Source organism: Homo sapiens, chromosome 22 (genome assembly GCF_000001405.40).
Source record: "Homo sapiens chromosome 22, GRCh38.p14 Primary Assembly".
Classification (NCBI taxonomy): Eukaryota; Metazoa; Chordata; class Mammalia; order Primates; family Hominidae; genus Homo; species Homo sapiens.
The window spans coordinates 42,553,956-42,573,049 of NC_000022.11; the positions used below are offsets into that span (position 1 = coordinate 42,553,956).

Below are 19,094 nucleotides of genomic sequence, written 5' to 3' on the forward strand. Positions count from 1 at the left end.
ACTCTGCTCCTGCGACCTAGCCAGGCGTGAGGGAGTGACAGCAGCGCATTCGCGGGACGAGAGCGATGAGTGAGAACGCCGCACCAGGTCTGACGGGGAGGCCTTGTGCGAGCGTCCCACTGCCCACCCACCTGGTTGGGACAGTAGAAGAGGGCGGGATGGAGTGGAGGGTTCGCCGACCGCGTCGCCCTCCTGGGTGTCGCAGCTCCTTCCTCGGCAGTCCCGGGGCATGAGAGCGCGACCGGCCAGGAGTTGGGGGACCCGGGACACGGCCGCACGTGGCCTCCCAGGGTTCCAGGAGCCCCTGAGTTAGCCGAGCGTGCGCGTGGGTGTCGGGGGTGCGCAAGTCTCCAGCCTTGCAGAGACGGAGGAGGCTGCCAGATGTGGGGGCGGTGGGGGTTCCTGGAGTCCCACCGCCTGCCCTAAATTTCCACTCCGCCCTTGTCGCCCAGTGTGACCTTGGGCATGTACTGCAGCTCCCAGTGCCTCAGTTTCCTGCTCTGTGGAGGGAGAGTGACAGTGGTCCCACCTGCTGCGTGTATGAGGGTTTGGCACCCCTCTGGCCTTTGGGAAAGGCTTAGGAAACGGGCTGTTTCTTTACTCCGGTTTTACAGGAAAGGAAACAGGCTCAAGACGTTTTAGTAACTTCTCCAAGGTTACCCAGCCAGCAAGTGATGGGGTCCAGGCCTGACCAGCGCCCCCGCCCCAGCACATTCTAGAAGGTTCTGCCCCAGTTTAAATGGGGTGCATGCTCTGAGGCCTGTCACAGCTTTTTCCGGCTTAACTTCTCTGTCCCTCCTCTGGGAGTCTCCACTCCCATGTCTGACTCTCTCCCCATAACCTTCTGGGGCAGCTAAGGGTCTGAGTCCCTCTGGACATGAGCCCCTGGCTCAAGCACATCAGGCAGAGATAAGGGGCTCAGGGAGCACCAGCTTCATGGGTGAATGAATGAAGGAATGAAAGACCCGGCTGTGTCTTTCAGGTCTGATCTCAGAGCTGAAGCTGGCTGTGCCCTGGGGCCACATCGCAGCCAAAGCCTGGGGCTCCCTGCAGGGCCCTCCAGTTCTCTGCCTGCACGGCTGGCTGGACAATGCCAGCTCCTTCGACAGACTCATCCCTCTTCTCCCGCAAGGTGTGAGGCTGGGGCTGAAGGGAAGGCCAGGGGGAAAGTGGGCAGGAAGGTGAGGGGGGAGGTCTGCAGGGGAATGAGGAGGGCGGGGAGACAGCTGGCATAGACACCTCTTCCTACCCTCCAACCCGCTTCTCTCTGTTTCAGACTTTTATTACGTTGCCATGGATTTCGGAGGTCATGGGCTCTCGTCCCATTACAGCCCAGGTGTCCCATATTACCTCCAGACTTTTGTGAGTGAGATCCGAAGAGTTGTGGCAGGTAAGAAACAGAGTGTGTATTTTCGGCGGTGTGGGGGGTGCTCTAGGGCACCCCCTCTTATCACTGGAGGCGGGGTAGGATCCAGGAAGCAGCGCTGGCCTGAGAGTGGGGCCTGGGCTCTGGCCCCAGGTCTGCCAGCAATTCACGGGAGATCTTGGGAAAGTTGAAGAGTTCGCTTCCTCCAGTGGGTCCCCCAAGCTAGTGTCCTGGGTGGACACCCCAGATGCTGGGAAGGGATTTCCTGAGCCTGGGGACTAGAAGCAAGATCGTGGGCTGAGCCTGTGCCCAGCCGGACCTTCTGGCTCCTTGCATTTCCAGCCTTGAAATGGAATCGATTCTCCATTCTGGGCCACAGCTTCGGTGAGTACAGTGGCCAGGAGCTGACCGGGCCCGGAGTAGGGCTGGGAGGGAAGGATAGGAGCTGCTGCCCCACCCCTTTCCCCTGCACTTATGAGATCTGCAAAGAGAGATGAGAGGGTCAGTCAGAGGTTGACCACTGTACCCTCTGACCTCAGGCAACTGCCGCAAGGGACACAGGGATGAGGGAAATGTGGTCTTTTGAGTGGTCAGGTCTGATGAAGGGGACATCATGGCCCAGATGCTGAGCCCCCAGCCACCCATATGGTGCCCCCCCCCCCCAACTGGTGGGAAGAAGCTTTAGGGTATGCAGCTGGGGAGGGAGTGAGGGAATGTCACCCACAGCTCTTTTGTCCCCCAGGTGGCGTCGTGGGCGGAATGGTGAGTAGATGGCTTTGTCTGGCCAACTGGGGCTCCCTTGGGTGGAGTGGGGAGGGGAGCACAAAGGAGGAAGGAGAAGGTACCTGGGACAGAAAGTGCCTCCTCCTGTCACAGTGACAGTCCTTATACCAGGAAGTTGGTGTAAACGGTGGAGACTCCTGGTAGAGTTCATGTTTCCACGCCCCCATACCCGGTCCCACCGCACCCTGGAGTCCAGCCATCACCAAGGTCTGGAGCTCAGTGCTGGGTGCAGACTTAGGGGTGGTGGGGGAAGGCACACCATAGATAGAAGATTCTCCTCTGGCCTCTTGGTCAGCACCCTCCCCCCAGCCTAAAAGATGTTTCGGGGAACTCCAGGGTCCCCAGGGAAAGGCGGGAGTGTCCTTTCCTTCTTCCCCCTATTCATTCTCCCCTTTTGGCATCCTCACAGTTTTTCTGTACCTTCCCCGAGATGGTGGATAAACTTATCTTGCTGGACACGCCGCTCTTTCTCCTGGAATCAGATGTGAGAAGCGGGCTTTCGTGCATGCTGTCATTAGGGAGGACCTGGGCCCCGGGCAGCGCTCCCAGCCCTGTCTCCTTTGGTGGACACTAGGGAAGCACGAGGAGGCGGCAGAGGGTGGGAAAGGGGAGTCAGGGACCCGCTCCCCAACAGATGACAGGCTTCTGCTGCTTATACCCCTAGCAGTGGTCAGGACAAGGGGTGTGGGGGACCCCTTGGAAACTGGATGTGTGGCTCGGGATCTGCAGAATGCCAGGCTGATCACGCAGTGGCAGGCAGTGGAAGAGGGCAGCGGCCATGGGTGGAAGATGTTCTAGGGCACACAGCTGGGCCGGCACACTGCACTCACACCCAGTCGAATGCCTTTGCACTGTGTCCACATTGCACCACCACACATGACAGCCCTAAATGTGAACTGAAGGAACAAGGACTGACCCCTCTGACCACCACTACCCATAACCAGTACTGTCTCTGCGTCTGAGTCCTGGCCTGGTTTACCTGCTGGGTGACCCCTGGCAAGTTACTTTGCCTCTCTGGGCCTTAGTTCCCGCACGTGTAAAATGAGGTTGGGCTCAATGACCTGGCCAGCTCTGACATCCTGTCATTTTCTTGCCAAGGTCTCAGCCTATCAGTTGTGACACAAGTCTCATCAGTTTCAGTTTTCTTGTCCATAGAATGACCACAGATCGGCCAGATGCGGTGGCTCACGCCTGTAATCCCAGCACTTTGGGAGGCCGAGGCTGGCGGATCACCTGAGGTCAGGATTTCGAGACCAGCCTGACCAACATGGAGAAATCCCGTCTCTACTGAAAGTACAAAATTAGCTGGGCGTGGTGGCACATGCCTGTCATCCCAGCTACTTGGGAGGCCGAGGCAGGAGAATCGCTTGAACCCAGGAGGCGGAGGTTGCAGTGAGCCGAGATTGCGCCATTGCACTCCAGCCTGGGCAACAAGAGGGAAACTCCGTCTCCCAAAAAAAAAAAAAAAAAAAAAAAAAAGAATGACGGCAGATCCCATAAGGATAAGGATCATGTCCATCTCTGTCACCACATCCCCAATCCTGGCACCTAGTAAGGGCTCAGTAAATGTTCCTTGCATGAGCTCAGCTAGCTCAGGGGCTATTATAAGGATCCAATTTACAGATGGCAGACAGCAGACACTCCCTTCTTTCTGCATTTCACCCACTGAATTGACAAGTGCAGTGCCCCCAGGGGCTTCCTCCTGGGCGAGTCAAGAGGGGCATTTGGTCCTCTTGTCCTGCATTCTCAGGCATGGGTAGATGGGAGATGCCCCCCTCTGCAGCCCCAGGCAGTGGGCCTGAGGCTGTCCTCACAGAGTGAGCCACACATCATGGGGGAGCTTGGAAGCCCCAGAAATGCGCCCTTTCTGCCAGTCCCTTTCTGCCACTGAGAATGATGGCATTCGTTGAACCAGATGAAACTGCCAACCCCAGATGGTTCGTGGCCTCCGGACCCTAATTTCATGCCTTTGCAAAGCACTTGGCAGTTGACAGAGATTCCCCTTCCTCTCCATCATCCCACCTGATCTCTTCAACTGTCCCTGGCCGCAGGCAAGACCAGGCTGGCTGTGACTGAGGCGAAGCAAAGACTCGTTCAGAATCGTGGGGCTGACTAGCCAGGGCTGGGGCTGTGTGCCCCTTTGCCGAGAGGGGCTCAGCTGAGAGCAGAGGGCAGGGCTAGGAGGGGCAGAGACCTCGTCTGCAGCCTGGATCCCTGCCCACCAGCCAACTGTGCCTCCTTAGGAAATGGAGAACTTGCTGACCTACAAGCGGAGAGCCATAGAGCACGTGCTGCAGGTAGAGGCCTCCCAGGAGCCCTCGCACGTGTTCAGCCTGAAGCAGCTGCTGCAGAGGTGGGTGCCCGGTGTGGACGGGGAGCTGGTGGGGTCCAGGGGAGGACATCCCGTGAGACGTGGAGAAGCTTCTTTCTCCCTCTCACCCAACAAGCCTGTTTCTCCCTGGGGTCACGCTGAGCACCAGGCTTCCCAGGGTCTTCAGGGACGTTCTCTCTTTCCCTCTGCCCCTGCTCCAGCCATGCCCCTTACTTCCAATACCCTCCCCACACCTCTCACGCACCCGCCTCTCTCCCAAGCACATGCTGCTTCCACGCCTTCTCTCCCCTCTGGGACTCCAGCCTGGGCTCCCTTACCTGGAATTCTCCCCTGTGCTTGCTCACTGGCTTCCCCACTCCTTGGGGCCTCAGCTGGGAACCCTGCCCTGACACCCCCAGGCAAGCTGTCCCTGCCCTGCAGGTAACCACACTGTCCAATAAGAGCCTATTGATTCCTCTGTTTCCCGAGGCATGTGAACTCCGCAACCCCCACTATGGCTGATTTGGTCATCTTTGTGCCTCCTGCATCTGGCAGTGGGCCTGGTAGGTCAGAGCTCCACACATATTTGTTGTCTGAAGGAGGAGAAGCCCCCCACTGCCCCACCACACGCACGCGCACACACACCCACACACACACACCCTGCCGCTGTAAACATGCAATCGAAACACGGGACACAGGCCAGGCGCAGTGGCTCACACCTGTAATCCCAGCACATTGGGAAGCTGAGGTGGGAAGATAGCTTGAGCCCAGGAGTTAGAGACCAGCCTGAGCGAGATAGCGAGACCCTGTATTTAAAAAAAAAAAAAAAAAAAAAAAAAAATTAGCTGGTCGTGGTGGCACACGCCTGTGGTCCCAGCTACTCAGCAGCCTTAGTTGGGAGGAGTGCTTAGCCCCAGGAGGTCGAGGCTGCAGACAGCCATGATCATGCCACTGCACTCCAGTCTGGGTGACAAAGTGAGACCCTGTCTCAATTAGAATACAAGGTCCAGGCACGGTGGCTCATGCCTGTAATCCCAGCACTTTGGAAGGCGGAGGTGGGCAGATTACGAGGTCAGGAGATTGAGAACATCATGGCTAAGATGGTGAAACCCTGTGTCTACTAAAAAATACAAAAAATTAGCCAAGCGTGGTGGTGGCGGGCGCCTGAATATCTATCCAGAAGAGGCGTTAGACATTCTCTAGATGTAACGAAGAATGGCATGAACCCGGGAGGCAGAGCTTGCAGTGAACCCAGATTGCGCCACTGTACTCCAGCCTGGGCAACAGAGCAAGACTCTGTCTCACAAAGAAAAAAAAAGAAAAAAAAATCACGAGACACATGCACGCTTTGTGGGTGACCTCCCTTTTGCTGCCCTTGTCTCCATTTTTTTGTTGTTGTTGTGTTTTGTTTTTGGAGACCAAATCTCGCTCTGTTCCCCAGGCTAGAGTGCAGTGGCACAATCTCAGCTCACTGCAACCTCTGCCTCCTGGGTTCAAGTGATTCTCATGCCTCAGCTTCCCAAGTAGCTGGGATTACAGGCACATGCCACCATGTCCAGCTAAGTTTTGTATTTTTAGTAGAGATGAGGTTTTACCATGTTGGCCAGGCTGGTCTCAAACTCCTGACCTCAGATGATCCGCCCATCTTGTCCTCCCAAAGTGCTGGGATTACAGGCATGAGCCACCGTCCCCCCCGGCCCTCCTCTCCTTTTTATCTGACCTCCTTTTTATTGGCCTCCAGGCACCCAGCATCCTTCTGTCTCCCCCCAGGTTACTGAAGAGCAATAGCCACTTGAGTGAGGAGTGCGGGGAGCTTCTCCTGCAAAGAGGAACCACGAAGGTGGCCACAGGTAAGGGACTCTACTGTCCAAGGCCATTTTATATTTGTCACTATTCTTACCGAGGATGTCAAGGACTTGCCTTAGACCAGGCAGGATACTAAGCGCTTTGCAAACAGCATCTCACTGAATCCCCCTCCTGCCTCACCCTCATCCCATTTAGAGCAGGAGAAACCAAGGCTCAGCATTGCCAAGCAACCCGGGTGAGGCCATACAGTTACTGCACATCCCAGAAAGCCACGCTCTGGGAGAGTTTGGTCAGGTGTCTTGGACTAAATGTTGGTGAATGTCACGGCCATGCTCTGCTGGATCTGGGGTGGGTGCCCAGCGCCAGAGGCAGGCTGTGAGGACGTCCCAGGGGCTGAGTGACTTGGGAGAGGCTTTTCACAATGGAGAGGTGGAGCTGGTATGTCTTGGTTTCAGAGCAGCTTCTGGCACAAGCGATTTGTGTACTTTGCTTTTTACCCAGGAATTTTTTTTCTTTCGTTCTTTTTTCTTATGAGACAAGGTCTCGCTCTGTCACCTAGGCTGGAGTGCGGTGGCACCATCATGGCTCACTGCAGCCTCCACCTCCCGGGCTCCAGAGATCGTCCCACCTCAGCCTCCTGAGTAGCTGGGACTACAGGTGTGAGCTACTGTGCCTGGCCCAGGAAATCTTTTGTAAGGGCCTGCTACAGGCCCGGCTCAGTGAGGCTGCAGTGAGCAAGAGCCGACTGTCCCTCTCTCAGTGGGGCCAGACCTCCCGCACCACAACTCCAGGGGCTGCTGTGCACAAATGGCGCCCCCTGGAGTTGAGTAAGGAAGAGTCTGGGCAGAGGCCTAGATTCTTGGAAGAGAAGCAGATGATACACAGGTGAACAGGCACATGAGTGGTTAGACATTCTCTAGATGTAATGAAGGAAATACATGGTGCTCTAGAAGAGACTCATGGCGGGGCCTGCTTCAGAGCAGTGGTCCAGGAAGCAGCTCTCCCAGGGTGAGGGAACAGCTGGAGGGAGATGGTGTCGTCGGATGGAAAATGTGCTAAGCTGGGCAACACAACTTTGCTTCCTGACACTGCCAGCTCAGTGATCTTGGGACAGTCCCTTCCCTTTTAGACTCCCCTTGTTTGCTCAGGTGACAAACAAGGTCTTGGGTTTTTTGCGCTCATTGGACCAGGTGAGGTGGGCATGTGCCTTCCCTTTATAAAGTGCTGAGTGAGGCAGGGGGTCAGAAACTCCAGCACCTGGGGGCGGGGGTGGGGGCGTGTTGTGGAGTTGAGGGTGCAGGCCGGGAGGGAGGCTATGGGCTGTGTAGGGACTTTGGAGCTGGAGGCAGCCCACCCTGGTAGGCAGCTGGGCCGGTGCTAATCAAGTGGGAATTCAGTCTCGTGTGGCCAGAATTACCAGTTGCTCAGCTCTGCAGTTGATCTGCTGAGGTGAGTATTTTTAGTTGTCTTGAGTCCAGAAATGGACAGCATCCCCCGAGGGTCTAAGGAGCGGCACCTGTGGGCTGTTTTGGCCTCGGGTCGCCAGTTTGGGACCAGTTGGGTCTTCGTGATCATCTTGGCTGAACCTTTATCTTGCCTCCCTGGAAACCCATCATGGGGAGGGGAGGTCAAGGACCCCGGGCCCAGGCTTCCTGGACATGCCTCACGGATGGCTGACCTAGGGAGCCCCAGGCACAGAAGTGAGCTAATCTGGAATGAGGCCGGGGAATTCGATTAGGCCCAGGTCACAGGAAACAGTGAATGCAGGATGCTGACCAGGCACCCCTATGTGGGTGTCAGGGGGGTGAGGGAACAGGCAAGAGGGAGGGCTGAGAAAGAGGTGAACCCTGGGTCTGGGGGAAGTGGTCAGCTGGCTGGAACGTTGTGTGCAGACAAGCCCTCTGCAGCAGTTGTGGCCTTTTGGGACCCAGCATTAACCTAAAAGAAGACAGTACCCAGCCAGAACCCCCCACCCAGTGCCTCAAGGACAATGTAGGTTCCTCCCAAATGCTTCCCTCCAACCCCAGGGCCCCTGAGAGTTCACATTCTATTCTGAACTGGGATAACTTCCCTTCCCTGCCCCCATCATCCAACCTGATTCCTCCAGAATCTGGAGCTTAAACAACCAAGACACATTCCCCCACAGTTCCGGAGTTCAGGGTCCAAGGTCAAGGCCTCGGCAGGGCTGGTTCCTTCTGAGGGCTGTGAGGGAGTATCTGTTCCCACCTCTCTGGCTGCTGGGAGCCTCAGGAGCCCGTTGGCTTGTGTGTGAGGTTCTCTGGGTGGGTTACAGAGTGCGTGAGAAGGGGAGGGCTCGTGGAGGACGCAGAGTGGGGAGGGCAGCGAGCATTGTTGGAGAGGCTGCAGCTCCACTTCCTCTTTTGAATAGGAAGGTCTGGGTGGGCCTCATGAGAAGGTGACTTTTGAGCAAAGCAGTGAAGGTACGGGAGCTGCTCCTACGGACTCCAGGAGGAGAAAGGAGCTGGCAGGACAGGCCTGGAGGTGTGAGCTGGTGGTGCAGGATGGGGAGAGAGCAGCAGAGATGAGCTCTTTATCTTCTCATCTAAGTTTAAGCCCCACAATACTGGCTTTCTGGAAACCATCTTGAGGTGTTCCCATGAAGGAGGGAGGGGCCCACTCTGCCTGGGGTGCCCTAAGGACAGAGGGACAGTCTGTGTCAGTCTGGCCCCTGGCCAAGCGTATTCACACATGCCTGTAATCCCAGCACTTTGGGAGTCCAGGTGGGAGGACTGTTTGAGGCCAGGAGTTCAAGACCAGCCTGGGCAATATAGGGAGACACCCCCATCTCTACAAAAAATTCAAAAATAAACGGCATGGTGGCACACCTGTGGTCCCAGCTACTTAGGAGGCTGAAGTGGGAGACTCACATGAGCTCAGGAGTCGGAGGCTGCATTGAACCTTGATTGTGCCACTGCACTCTAGCAAGACCCTGGCTTTTTCTTTTTTTCTTTTTTTTTTTTTTTGTTGTTGTTGTTGTTTTCAACAGGGTCTTGCTCTGTCACTCAGGCTGGAATGCAGTGGCGTGACCATGGCTCACTGCAGCCTTGGCCTCATGGGCTCAGGCGATCCTCCTACCTCAGCCTCTTGAGTAGCTGGGACCACAAGTGTGCAGACCACACCTGGCTAATTTTTGTATTTTTTTGTAGAGATGGAGTTTCGCCATGTTGCCCAGGCTGGTCTCGAACTCCTGAACTCAAGCGATCCTACTGACTCGACCTCCCAAAATGGTAGGATTACAGGTGTGAGTCACCATGCCCAGCCAACCCTGTCTTAAAAACAAAACAAAAATATCTGGCCCCTGAAGCCCCGTGCTGTGGGGGAGGCTCAAATCTTTCTCATAAGCTGGACTGCATACAGGTTGCAGATAATAATTTGTTTAACTTGTGCAGTTTAATCAAAAACATTTGGCATGGGGGGAATTTTGAATAGATTGCCCACATTTTATTTTTTATTATACTCTTTTTATTTTTTGGAGGAAGGGCCCAAGGACCAGAGCAGAAGGGCTATTATTTTAAATAGAAAGATTTTATGTAAAAATACAGATTTCTAGACCAGGCACAGTGGCTCATGCCTGTAATCCCAGCGCTTTGGGAGGCTGAGGTGGGTGAATCACCTGATGTTGGGAGTTCGAGACCACCCTGACCAACATGGAGAAACCCCGTCTCTACTAAAAATACAAAAGTAGTTGGGCGTGATGGCGCATGCCTGTAATCCCAGCTACTGGGGAGGCTGAGGCAAGAGAATCGCTTGAACCGGGAGGTGGAGGTTGCAGTGAGCTGAGATCATACCATTGCACTCTAGCCTGGGCAACAAGAGTGAAACTTCGTCTCAGAAAAAAAAAAGACAAGAAAAAACATGTCTTTTGTATGGCTTCTGGAATTTGAGTCATAGTTAAAAGGTCATGCTTGACACTAATATTATTTTGGGTCTAGCACTAGCATTTAAATATTTACTACATTGGATCCTTATCTAGTATACAAAGTGAGGTTTGCATCTGACTTCATCTTTTTCCAGATGGCTCCTCAGGTGCCTAATGCCATTTTTAGACAAGTCTATCTTTACCCTGTTCATGTAAGGGGCTGCCTTGGTCAGACAGTGAATGCCCATCTGTACTTGGGTCTGTCTCTGACTGCCTGTCTATGATCTTACTGTACCACACATTTTAAACTGAGGCCCGACACAGGATTTTTTTTTTTCTTTTTTTTTGAGACGGGGTCTTGCTTTTGTCGTCCAAGCTGGAGTATAATGGCACAATCTCGGCTCACCGCAACCTCCACCTCCTGGGTTCAAGTAATTCTCCTGCCTCAGTCTGCCAAGTAGCTGGGATTACAGGTGCCCACCACCATGCCTGGCTAATTTTTGTATTTTTAGTAGAGATGGGGTTCACCATGTTGGCCAGGCTGGTCTCGAACTCCTGACCTCAGGTGATCCACCTGTCTTGGCCTCCCAAAGTATTGGGATTTCAGGTGTGAGCCACCGCACCCGGCCTGAGGATTTTCGCATCTGACGGGACCGTCTCCCTTCATGGCTCTTTTACAGAGTTTTTCTACTAGTCTTTTTTCTTTTCCTTTTTGAGACAGGGTCTTGCTGTGTTGGCCAGACTGGATTGCAGTGGCAGGATCTCGGCTCACTGCAGCCTCTGCCTCCTGGGCTCAAAGAACCCTTCCACTTGAGTCTTCCCAGTAGCTGGGACTACAGGAGTGTGCCACCATGCTCGGCGCGCGCGTGTGTGTGTGTGTGTGTGTACACGCAACAAGGCCATTTATTTCACCTGGGTGCAGGCGGGCCGAGTCCGAAAAGAGAGCAAAGGGTGATGGGATGACTACGCTACGTTCTCCTACAAATGGACCTTGAGAGCTTGTTTGGAGGTTCTAGCAGGGGAGCGCAGCTACTCGTATACCCTTGACCGAAGACCGGTCCTCCTCTATCGGGGATGGTCGTCCTCTTCGACCGAGTGCACAGTTTCGGGAGGGACGCACATGGAGCGGTAAGGAAGGGAGGGGACACCCGCCTAGCCGCCAGATCAGCTGAATCAACCCTGGCGATCAATGGGGTGACAGATGTCGCAGCCAGATCACCCTCACATCTTTTTTTTTTTTTTGAGACGGAGTCTCACTCTGTCACCTGGGCTGGAATGCAGTGGCTCGATCTCGGCTCACTGCAACCTCTGCCTCCCGGGTTTAAGCGATTCTCCTGCCTCAGCCTCCCGAGTAACTGGGATTACAGGCACCTGCCACTACGCCCAGCTAATTTTTGTATTTTTAGTAGAGACCAGGTTTAACCATATTGCCCAGGCTGGTCTTGAACTCCTGACCTCGTGATTCGCCTGCCTCGGCCTCCCAAAGTGCTGGGATTACAGGCTTGAGCCACCATGCCTGGCCTTGGCTAATTTTTTAGTTTTTTTGTGTAGAGATGGGGTCCTGCTCCATTGCCCACGCTGGTCTCAAGTGATCCTCCCACTTCGGCCTCCCAAAGTGCTGGAATTACAGGTGCCTGACCTCCTGCTATTCTTACCTGTGTAATTTTTCCACGTGAACTTGAGAATCAGGTGGTTTAGGCCCCCCACCAAGAAAATCTTGTTGGTATATCATATATGTATGGTTTTTTAGTGGTTTTTGTTTGATTTTTTGAGACAGAGTCTTGCTCTGTCGCCTAGGCTGGAGTGCAGTGGCACGATCTCAGCTCACCACAACCAGTGACACCATTGGTACTTATTTGCTTCTTCCTAGTGACTAAAGGAATGAATGAGTTTCTCAGAGACTAGAGCTCCACCGTCCACGAGGCTATTAGCCTAAGCTCCCGCCCTCATTCTGCACCGGCCCTTTGGGGTGGCCGGTGAGGGCCCATGTGGGCTGACAGGTCTGTGGCCAGGTGGCTGTGGTCTAGCCCTGCTCCAGCTGGACCCCAGGACAGGGAGTCCTGGGCAGCTGAGGACGTCGGGGGCAGGTGGGAGAAATGGGCCCTGGCTGCAAAGGCCTGGAGGGTTCCAGCAAAGTCACGGAGCGTCCCCTGACCCTGATGGACAGCATTGACGCTGCTGTCTTTGTGCTTCCGCCTCCAGGTCTGGTTCTGAACAGAGACCAGAGGCTCGCCTGGGTGAGTACCACTGCCTCCGGGTCCCCCGCCAAGGTTTGCCTGTTAGCGTCTTTGTCGTTTTTGAAAATTACAGGCCAGGCGTGGTGGCTCACGCCTGTAATCCCAGCTACTCAGGAGGCTGAGGCAGGACAATCGCTTGAATGGGAGGCAGAGGTTGCATTGAGCCGAGATAGCACCACTGCACTGCAGCCTGGGCGACAGAGCGAGACTCCATCTCAAGAAAAAAAAAACAAAAGAAATTATATAGCTAACATAATACTTAATGATTGTCAATTTAACCGTTTGTAAGTATGCACTTCAGTGGCATTAAATACAGTCGATGGAGGTGAGGAGAGGAGGGAGACATCCCAGGCACTGGCTGCTGCACAGGGAAAAGCTCGAAGTCAGCTCGGTGCATCTGTTGAGAGGGGGATTCCTGATAGAGGCTGTGAAGATTAAAGAGGGGAGGGGCAGGATGACAAAGGTTCTCAAAAAACAGCGTCCCATCTGGAGGCCTGTGTCACTGGAGCACTTGTATTAATAGAAACTTGGCCATCTCTGCCAGTGAGGGGCTGTAGGACCTTGGGCAAGGTGCTTACCCTCTCTGAGCCTTGGTTGTCTCACGTGCAAAAAGAAAGTGCTTTCATTCGCTCAGCTGGTTTATGAGCAGCTTGGCTAGGGGAGCCAAGCCCTGGGCCTGCCTTTGAAGGGTTGTTGTCGAGACTAGGTGAGGTCATGTGTGTTGAGTGGCCTCGCACAGTGCTGTCGCTTCAGGTGCTCATGGCCTGTGCTATTTTGTGATTGTTAAAATATGGTAGAACATTGGACACATGTGAGACACTGTCATTAGAGGTGGGGACGCTCTAACTGCAGGGAGACCGCTGAGAGCTGCTGCCCAGGCCCAGGCCAAGAGATGAGGCTTGGACCAGGGCGTCAGCCAATGGTCTGGGAATGTTAACGTGTTTGTCTTTGATCCGTGTGGGATTTGTTCTTGAGCATGGTGTCAGATAGTGATTCATTTTCTTTTCTTTTTTTCTTTTTTGTGTTTTAAAAGTTCGATTTTTCGGCCGGGCGCGGTGGCTCACGCCTGTAGTCCCAGCACTTTGGGAGGCCGAGGCGGGTGGATCACAAGGTCAGGAGATCGAGACCATCCTGGCTAACAAGGTGAAACCCCGTCTCTACTAAAAATGCAAAAAATTAGCCGGGCGCGGTGGCAGGCGCCTGTAGTCCCAGCTACTCGGGAGGCTGAGGCAGGAGAATGGCGTGAACCCGGGAAGCAGAGCTTGCAGTGAGCCGAGATTGCGCCACTGCAGTTCGCAGTCCGGCCTGGGCGACAGAGCGAGACTCCATGTCAAAAAAAAAATAAATAAATAAAAAAAATAAAAGTTCGATTTTTCTTTAATTTTATTATTATTATTATTATTATTATTGATACAGAGTCTCGCTCTTGTTGCAAAGGCTGGAGTGCAATGGCACTATCTCAGCTCACGGCAACCTTTGCCTCCCAGGTTCGAGTGATTCTCCTGTCTCAGCCCCCAAGTAGCTGGGATTACAGGCACCCACCACCACACCTGGCTAATTTTTGTGTTTTTAGTGGAGATGGGGTTTCACCATGTTGTCCAGGCTGGTCTCGAACTCCTGACCTCAGGTGATCTGCCTGCCTCGACCTCCCAAAGTGCTGGGATTACAGGCATGAGCCACAGTGTTCGGTCTATTTGAATTGTAGAGACAGGGTCTCCCTCTGTCACCCGGACTGGAGTGCCATGGCTCAATTATGGCTCACACAGCTTCAACCTCCTGGGCTGAAGTGATCTTCCCACCTCAGCCTCCGGAGTGGCTAGGACTACAGGTGTGCGCTACCACACCCAGCTAAATTTTTTACTTTTGTAGAGACAGGGTCTTGCCATGTTGCCCAGGCTGGTCTTGAATGCCTGGGCTCAAGCTATCCTCCCGCCTCAGTTTCCCAAAGTACTGGGATTACAGGTGTGAGCCACTGCAGCCAGCCATTGTAATTGTTTTTCTAGATGAACAATACCAGCTGTTGGGTGGTCCTCCCTACCCACTAAGGCTCACTCACTGGTGGTTTGTCCCTTGTGTGTGCTGACCTTCGTGGTAGGAATTTATTGCCAGATCCTAGTCAATCTGGCTTTTGGAGATGCCCCCTTCCCTGTCCTTAGGGACCATGTCTTATGTGACCTGTTCTGTAGTGGGAGCTGTGATCACCCATAATGCTGGAAGGAAGATGGTTCCCAGGGATGGAAAGACTTCGTTAGGACATAAACTAAATTGCAGAAGATACACATTACAAAATGGAGCTGGCCCAAAATTCTCTTTTATTTTTTAAGTTTCTGGCCAGCTAAGTTTTAAGTTTCTGCAGTTGCTCATGCCTGTAATCCCAGCACTTTGGGATGCCAAGGCAGGCAGATCACTTGAGGCCAGGAGTTAAAGACCAGCCTCGCCAACATGGTGAAACCCTGTCTCTACCAAAAAATACAAAAATTAGCCGGGTGTGGTGGCACACACCTGTAGTCCCAGCTACTCAGGAGGCTGAGGCAGGAGAATCGCTTTAACTCGGGAGGCGGAGATTGCAGTGAGCTGAGATCGCCCAGGCTGGAGTGCAGTGGTGGGATCTCAGCTCACTGCAACCTCCACCTCCTGGGATCAAGGGATTGTCCTGCCTCAACCTCCCAAGTAGCTGAGATTACAGGCGCCCTCCACCATGCTGGGTTAATTTTTTGTATTTTTCATAGAGACAGGGTTTTGCCATGTTGGGCAGGCTGGTTTCGAACTCCTGACCTCAGGTGATGTGAATTTTTTTTTTTTTCTTGCAAAGGAACATTTCACAATTTTCGTATCACGCTTGCACAGGGGCCACGCTAATCATCTCTTTGTTGTTCCAATTTAGCAGTATATGTGCTGCTGAAGCAAAGCACCTACCTTCTATTTATTTATTTATTTAGAGACCAAGTCTTACTCTGTCATCCAGGGTGGAGTGCGGTGGCCCGAGTTTGGCTGCCTGCAACTTCTGCCTCCCGGGTTCAAGCAATTCTCCTGCCTCAGCCTCCTGAGTAGCTGGGATTACAGGCGCCTGACACCATGCCCAGCTAATTTGTTGTAATTTTAGTAGAGATGGGGTTTCACCACGTTTGCCAAACTGGTCTCGAACTTCTGACCTCAGGCGATCCACCTGCCTCAGCTTCCCAAAATGGTGGGATTACAGGCGTGAGTGACTGTGCCCAGTCTAATTTTCATATTTTTAGTAGAGACAGGGTCAAGTTTGCCTGTTCACCTTGTGCCCAGGAAGCCCCTCCTGTGTGCAGGCCCAAAAAGCTTGGTCACACCCTGCTGTGAGATGTGGCAGCTGACATATGAGAACACGCAGGCCTTGGGAACAGTATGGGAACCCCTGTTTCAGGGAAGGCACTTCAGGTCATTTTAGTCTGAGAAGCAGAAAATAGCTGGAGGGCCAGGGTGGAAACAGGGCAGTGAGTTTTCACTGGTGTGTGTGTGTTCATAGCAATTTGTGTGTGTGTGTGTGTGTGTGTGTGTGTGTGTGTTCATGGCAATTTTATATTCACAATGGTGCAGGAGTATCGGGTGTAACTTAGGGGAGCTGGTCCTTACGGGAGCTTCCCGGAATTAATCCACTCAGCTGCATTTATGAAGCTTCTCCTCTGTACTCCACGTGCTGAGAACTAGGGATAGAGAAAATGCTGAGAGCTCCTGCCCTTGGAGTCCCCAGATCAGAGCAGCACAGTGCAATGGAAGCAAAGCCTCACAGAACTTGACATTTCTCTAGCAGCTATATTAAAACAGGCCCAAGGCTGGGTGTGGTGGCTCACACCTGTAATCCCAGAACTTTGGGAGTCCGAGGCAGACAGATCACCTGAGGTCAGGAGTTCAAGACCAGCCTGACCAACATGGTGAAACCCTGTCGCTACTAAAAATACAAAATTAGGCCTGGTGGCGCATGCCTGTAATCCCAGCTACTCGGTAGGCTGAGGCAGGAGAATCGCTTGAACCCAGGAGGCGGGAGGTTGCGGTAAACTGAGATCGCGCCATTGCATTCCAGCCCGGGCACCAAGAGCAAAACTCGGTCTCAAATAAATAAGGCTCTAACAATTGTTCTCATATTTTAACATCCACAATGTGATTCAAGATGTAATCAACATAAAGCTTGATTGCATTATTTTGCATGCTAAGTTTTCCAAATCCAGCTTCGTGTCACACCTACAGCACATCTCACTCAAGCTGGCCACATCCCTGCCATCCAGACGTAAAACAGTCACAAGACAGGGCTGGCAGGGCCGCGGAGGAGGCCGGCAGGGGCCATCACGGAGTGCCCATCCTGCACTGTGGTCCCAGCAAGTTTCTTCCTCCTGGCAAGAAGCCTGTCCCAGGCTGGCAGGGGACAGCGTGAGGTGCAGCCTATGGACTGGGAAAGGGGTGTGGAAGGGCCACACCTAAGTCCTAAAATCCAGGCCCAGAAGTGGCCCAACTCACTTCTCTGCCTTTAATCTCACAGGCATACCCGGTGGCAAAGGAGTATGGGAAATGGAGTCAGGCTGGGTAGCCACGAGCCCAGGAAGAAGGGAGAACAGACTTGGAGAGGGCAGGAGTCTCTGGCCACCAGGGGCTAAAGAGCCTTCGATGAGGCAGTGATGTGGGGTCCTGGGCTCAGACCCAGGGTGGGTGGCTAAGGTGCCCTCGCCAGGACTTAGCCACCCCAACAGAGATGGGTTTCGTGCCCACGAGAGTGCCTGTGCCTTGTGACGAGAATTCACCATGTTTTTGTCTCTGCAGGCAGAGAACAGCATTGACTTCATCAGCAGGGAGCTGTGTGCGCATTCCATCAGGAAGCTGCAGGCCCATGTCCTGTTGATCAAGTAAGTCTGGACCCATCCCCTTCAGCCACCCGCCAAGGAGACATGGGCGCCAGGAATCTCCGGGAGGGGGCCCTGGCATGAGGCTCCAAGTTCTCTGCGTGTCGACCACATCGCTAAGGCTCAAGATCTTTTTTGGGAAGCCCCCCTGGCAGCAGGGTCATGGAAGGAGGAAGGTCAGAGGAGGGGAGGGCTCGGGCAGCAGGGGATGGGCCGGGGCTGTCCCATGCCTTTCCACAGGTGTCAGCGGGGGGCATGCCCAGGTAAGGCTCCATAACCAGTGAGCCCAGTCTCGGCTGACTGCAACCTCTGTCTCCTGGATTCAAACGATTCTCCTGCCTCAGCCTCCCGAGTAGCTGGGACTACAGGCGCCCGCCACCAGGCCTGGCTTATTTTTGTATTTTTAGTAGAGACGAGGTTTCGCCATGTTGGCCAGGCTGCTCTCCATCTCCTGACCTCATGATCCGCCCGCCTCGGCCTCCCAGTGTTGGGATTACAGGCGTGAGCCACCGTGCGTGGCCCACCATAGACGATTTTTAAGCCATAAAAAGAAACGAAGCACTGACACGGGCTCCAGCATGGATGAGCCTTTAAAACATCGCGCTAAGTGGACGAATTCAGACACAACCGTCTACGTGTTGTATGGCTGCATTCACGTTCAAGTCAAGTCCAAATAGGGCACACTGCAGAGACAAAGCCAGGTCATGGTTGCTCAGGACCGGAAGCCTGTTGGGGGCGGGGGGCGGGGGGTGGGGTGGGGTGTGTGTGTGTCCGCGTAAGCTCAGAGGTTCGCGATTTCTTTGGGGGCGATGAAAATGTCCTGTAATTGTGACGATGGTCTCACAACTCAATGTATTAAAAACCACAGAATTGTAGACTATCAACGGGAGGATTGTGAAGACATAAATTCTCTCTCAGAGCAAGTATGGGCTCCAGCGCCTGTTCAGATCCCAGCTCTGCTTTTCAGGGCTGACTGTGACCAAGTCCTGAACTCCCTGTGCCCCAGAAAGGCTGTGCCTTCAGCATTCACTTGTGCCTGGCTTGTGCCAGCTGAGCATGAGCTGAGATTAACTGAGCCTCAAATCCAACCCAGGGTCAAGGGACCCAGCTGTGGGAGTTGGGGTAGCCCAGGCTTTGGTTTCTCCTCAGAGGCCTGAACCCAGGGCAGGATGGGGGCACCGCTGGGAGGCGGTTCTAAGATGAACCCCAACAACCCCCAACTCCTCACTTTCCAGAGCAGTCCACGGATATTTTGATTCAAGACAGAATTACTCTGAGAAGGAGTCCCTGTCGTTCATGATAGACACGATGAAATCCACCCTCAAAGAGGTAAGACGGGGCTCAGGCAGCTGGTGTCCAGCCACTGTCGCCCACTCTGGTCCCACCTCACCCATCTCTTCTCATGCACTGGGAAGACCCTGGGTCTGCCCCCAGGCCCAACAAGTGACCACCAGGATCTATCAGGCCTCATGCTCCACTGTGGTCAGTCCCTAGAGGCCTAGGGACACATGTAATCAGAATTAAGGAAACAGAGACCTTTGGTGGGGAACCCCTGCCAGGTTCAAGCTACTCTCGTGCCTCAGCCTCCTGAGTAGCTGGGATTACAGGCACCTGCCACCATGCCCAGCTAATTTTTATATTTTATATTTTTAAGAGATGGGGTTTCACCATGTTGGCCAGGCTGGTCTCAAACTCCTGACCTCAGGTGATCCGCCCACCTTGGCCTCCCGAAGTGCTGGTTTTGTAGATGGGAGCCACCATACCCGGCCTAGTCGCACATTTTACAGGCTCCCAAACCACAGCAGAATACCCGACTGCCTCATCCCTCTGCACCCATCATGACAGTGGG

General features: G+C 53.8%; 1 protein-coding gene and 2 pseudogenes across 18 annotated transcripts in view, besides 2 other annotated features; 1 reads left to right on the top strand and 2 right to left on the bottom strand.

Moving 5' to 3' along the window:
* Positions 1-19,094, top strand: part of SERHL2 (serine hydrolase like 2) — a 20,427-nt gene continuing 1,333 nt past the window's right edge. For 2 of the 18 annotated variants that reach the window (XM_024452196.2, XM_047441295.1), the window contains exons 1-12: positions 1-87; positions 983-1,132; positions 1,277-1,390; positions 1,709-1,750; positions 2,109-2,128; positions 2,559-2,633; positions 4,393-4,502; positions 6,231-6,310; positions 9,434-9,514; positions 12,349-12,383; positions 17,166-17,248; positions 18,481-18,574. In XM_024452196.2, the coding sequence (XP_024307964.1) occupies positions 66-87; positions 983-1,132; positions 1,277-1,390; positions 1,709-1,750; positions 2,109-2,128; positions 2,559-2,633; positions 4,393-4,502; positions 6,231-6,310; positions 9,434-9,514; positions 12,349-12,383; positions 17,166-17,248; positions 18,481-18,574 (906 nt within the window). In that variant the 5' untranslated portion in view covers positions 1-65. Of the gene's footprint in view, positions 88-420; positions 723-982; positions 1,133-1,276; positions 1,391-1,708; positions 1,751-2,092; positions 2,129-2,558; positions 2,634-4,392; positions 4,503-6,230; positions 6,311-9,433; positions 9,515-11,068; positions 11,239-12,348; positions 12,384-17,165; positions 17,947-18,480; positions 18,740-19,094 lie in introns of those variants that run through there. The other 16 variants (NM_014509.5, XM_047441298.1, XM_047441299.1 and 13 more) reach the window with 15 other exon arrangements.
* Positions 6,475-7,159: an enhancer, noted in NCBI's record as "H3K4me1 hESC enhancer chr22:42956436-42957120 (GRCh37/hg19 assembly coordinates)". NCBI's record gives its function as "activates a minimal SCP1, AML or CMV promoter by ChIP-STARR-seq in naive H9 embryonic stem cells {active_cell/tissue: H9 hESC(naive)}" and the evidence as "EXISTENCE:reporter gene assay evidence [ECO:0000049][PMID:30033119]".
* Positions 6,966-7,025: an enhancer, noted in NCBI's record as "active region_19171". NCBI's record gives its function as "activates an Ori minimal core promoter by ATAC-STARR-seq in GM12878 lymphoblastoid cells {active_cell/tissue: GM12878}" and the evidence as "EXISTENCE:reporter gene assay evidence [ECO:0000049][PMID:35858748]".
* Positions 11,107-11,374, bottom strand: RN7SKP80 (RN7SK pseudogene 80; annotated as a pseudogene).
* On the bottom strand, positions 15,192-15,295 carry RNU6-513P (RNA, U6 small nuclear 513, pseudogene; annotated as a pseudogene).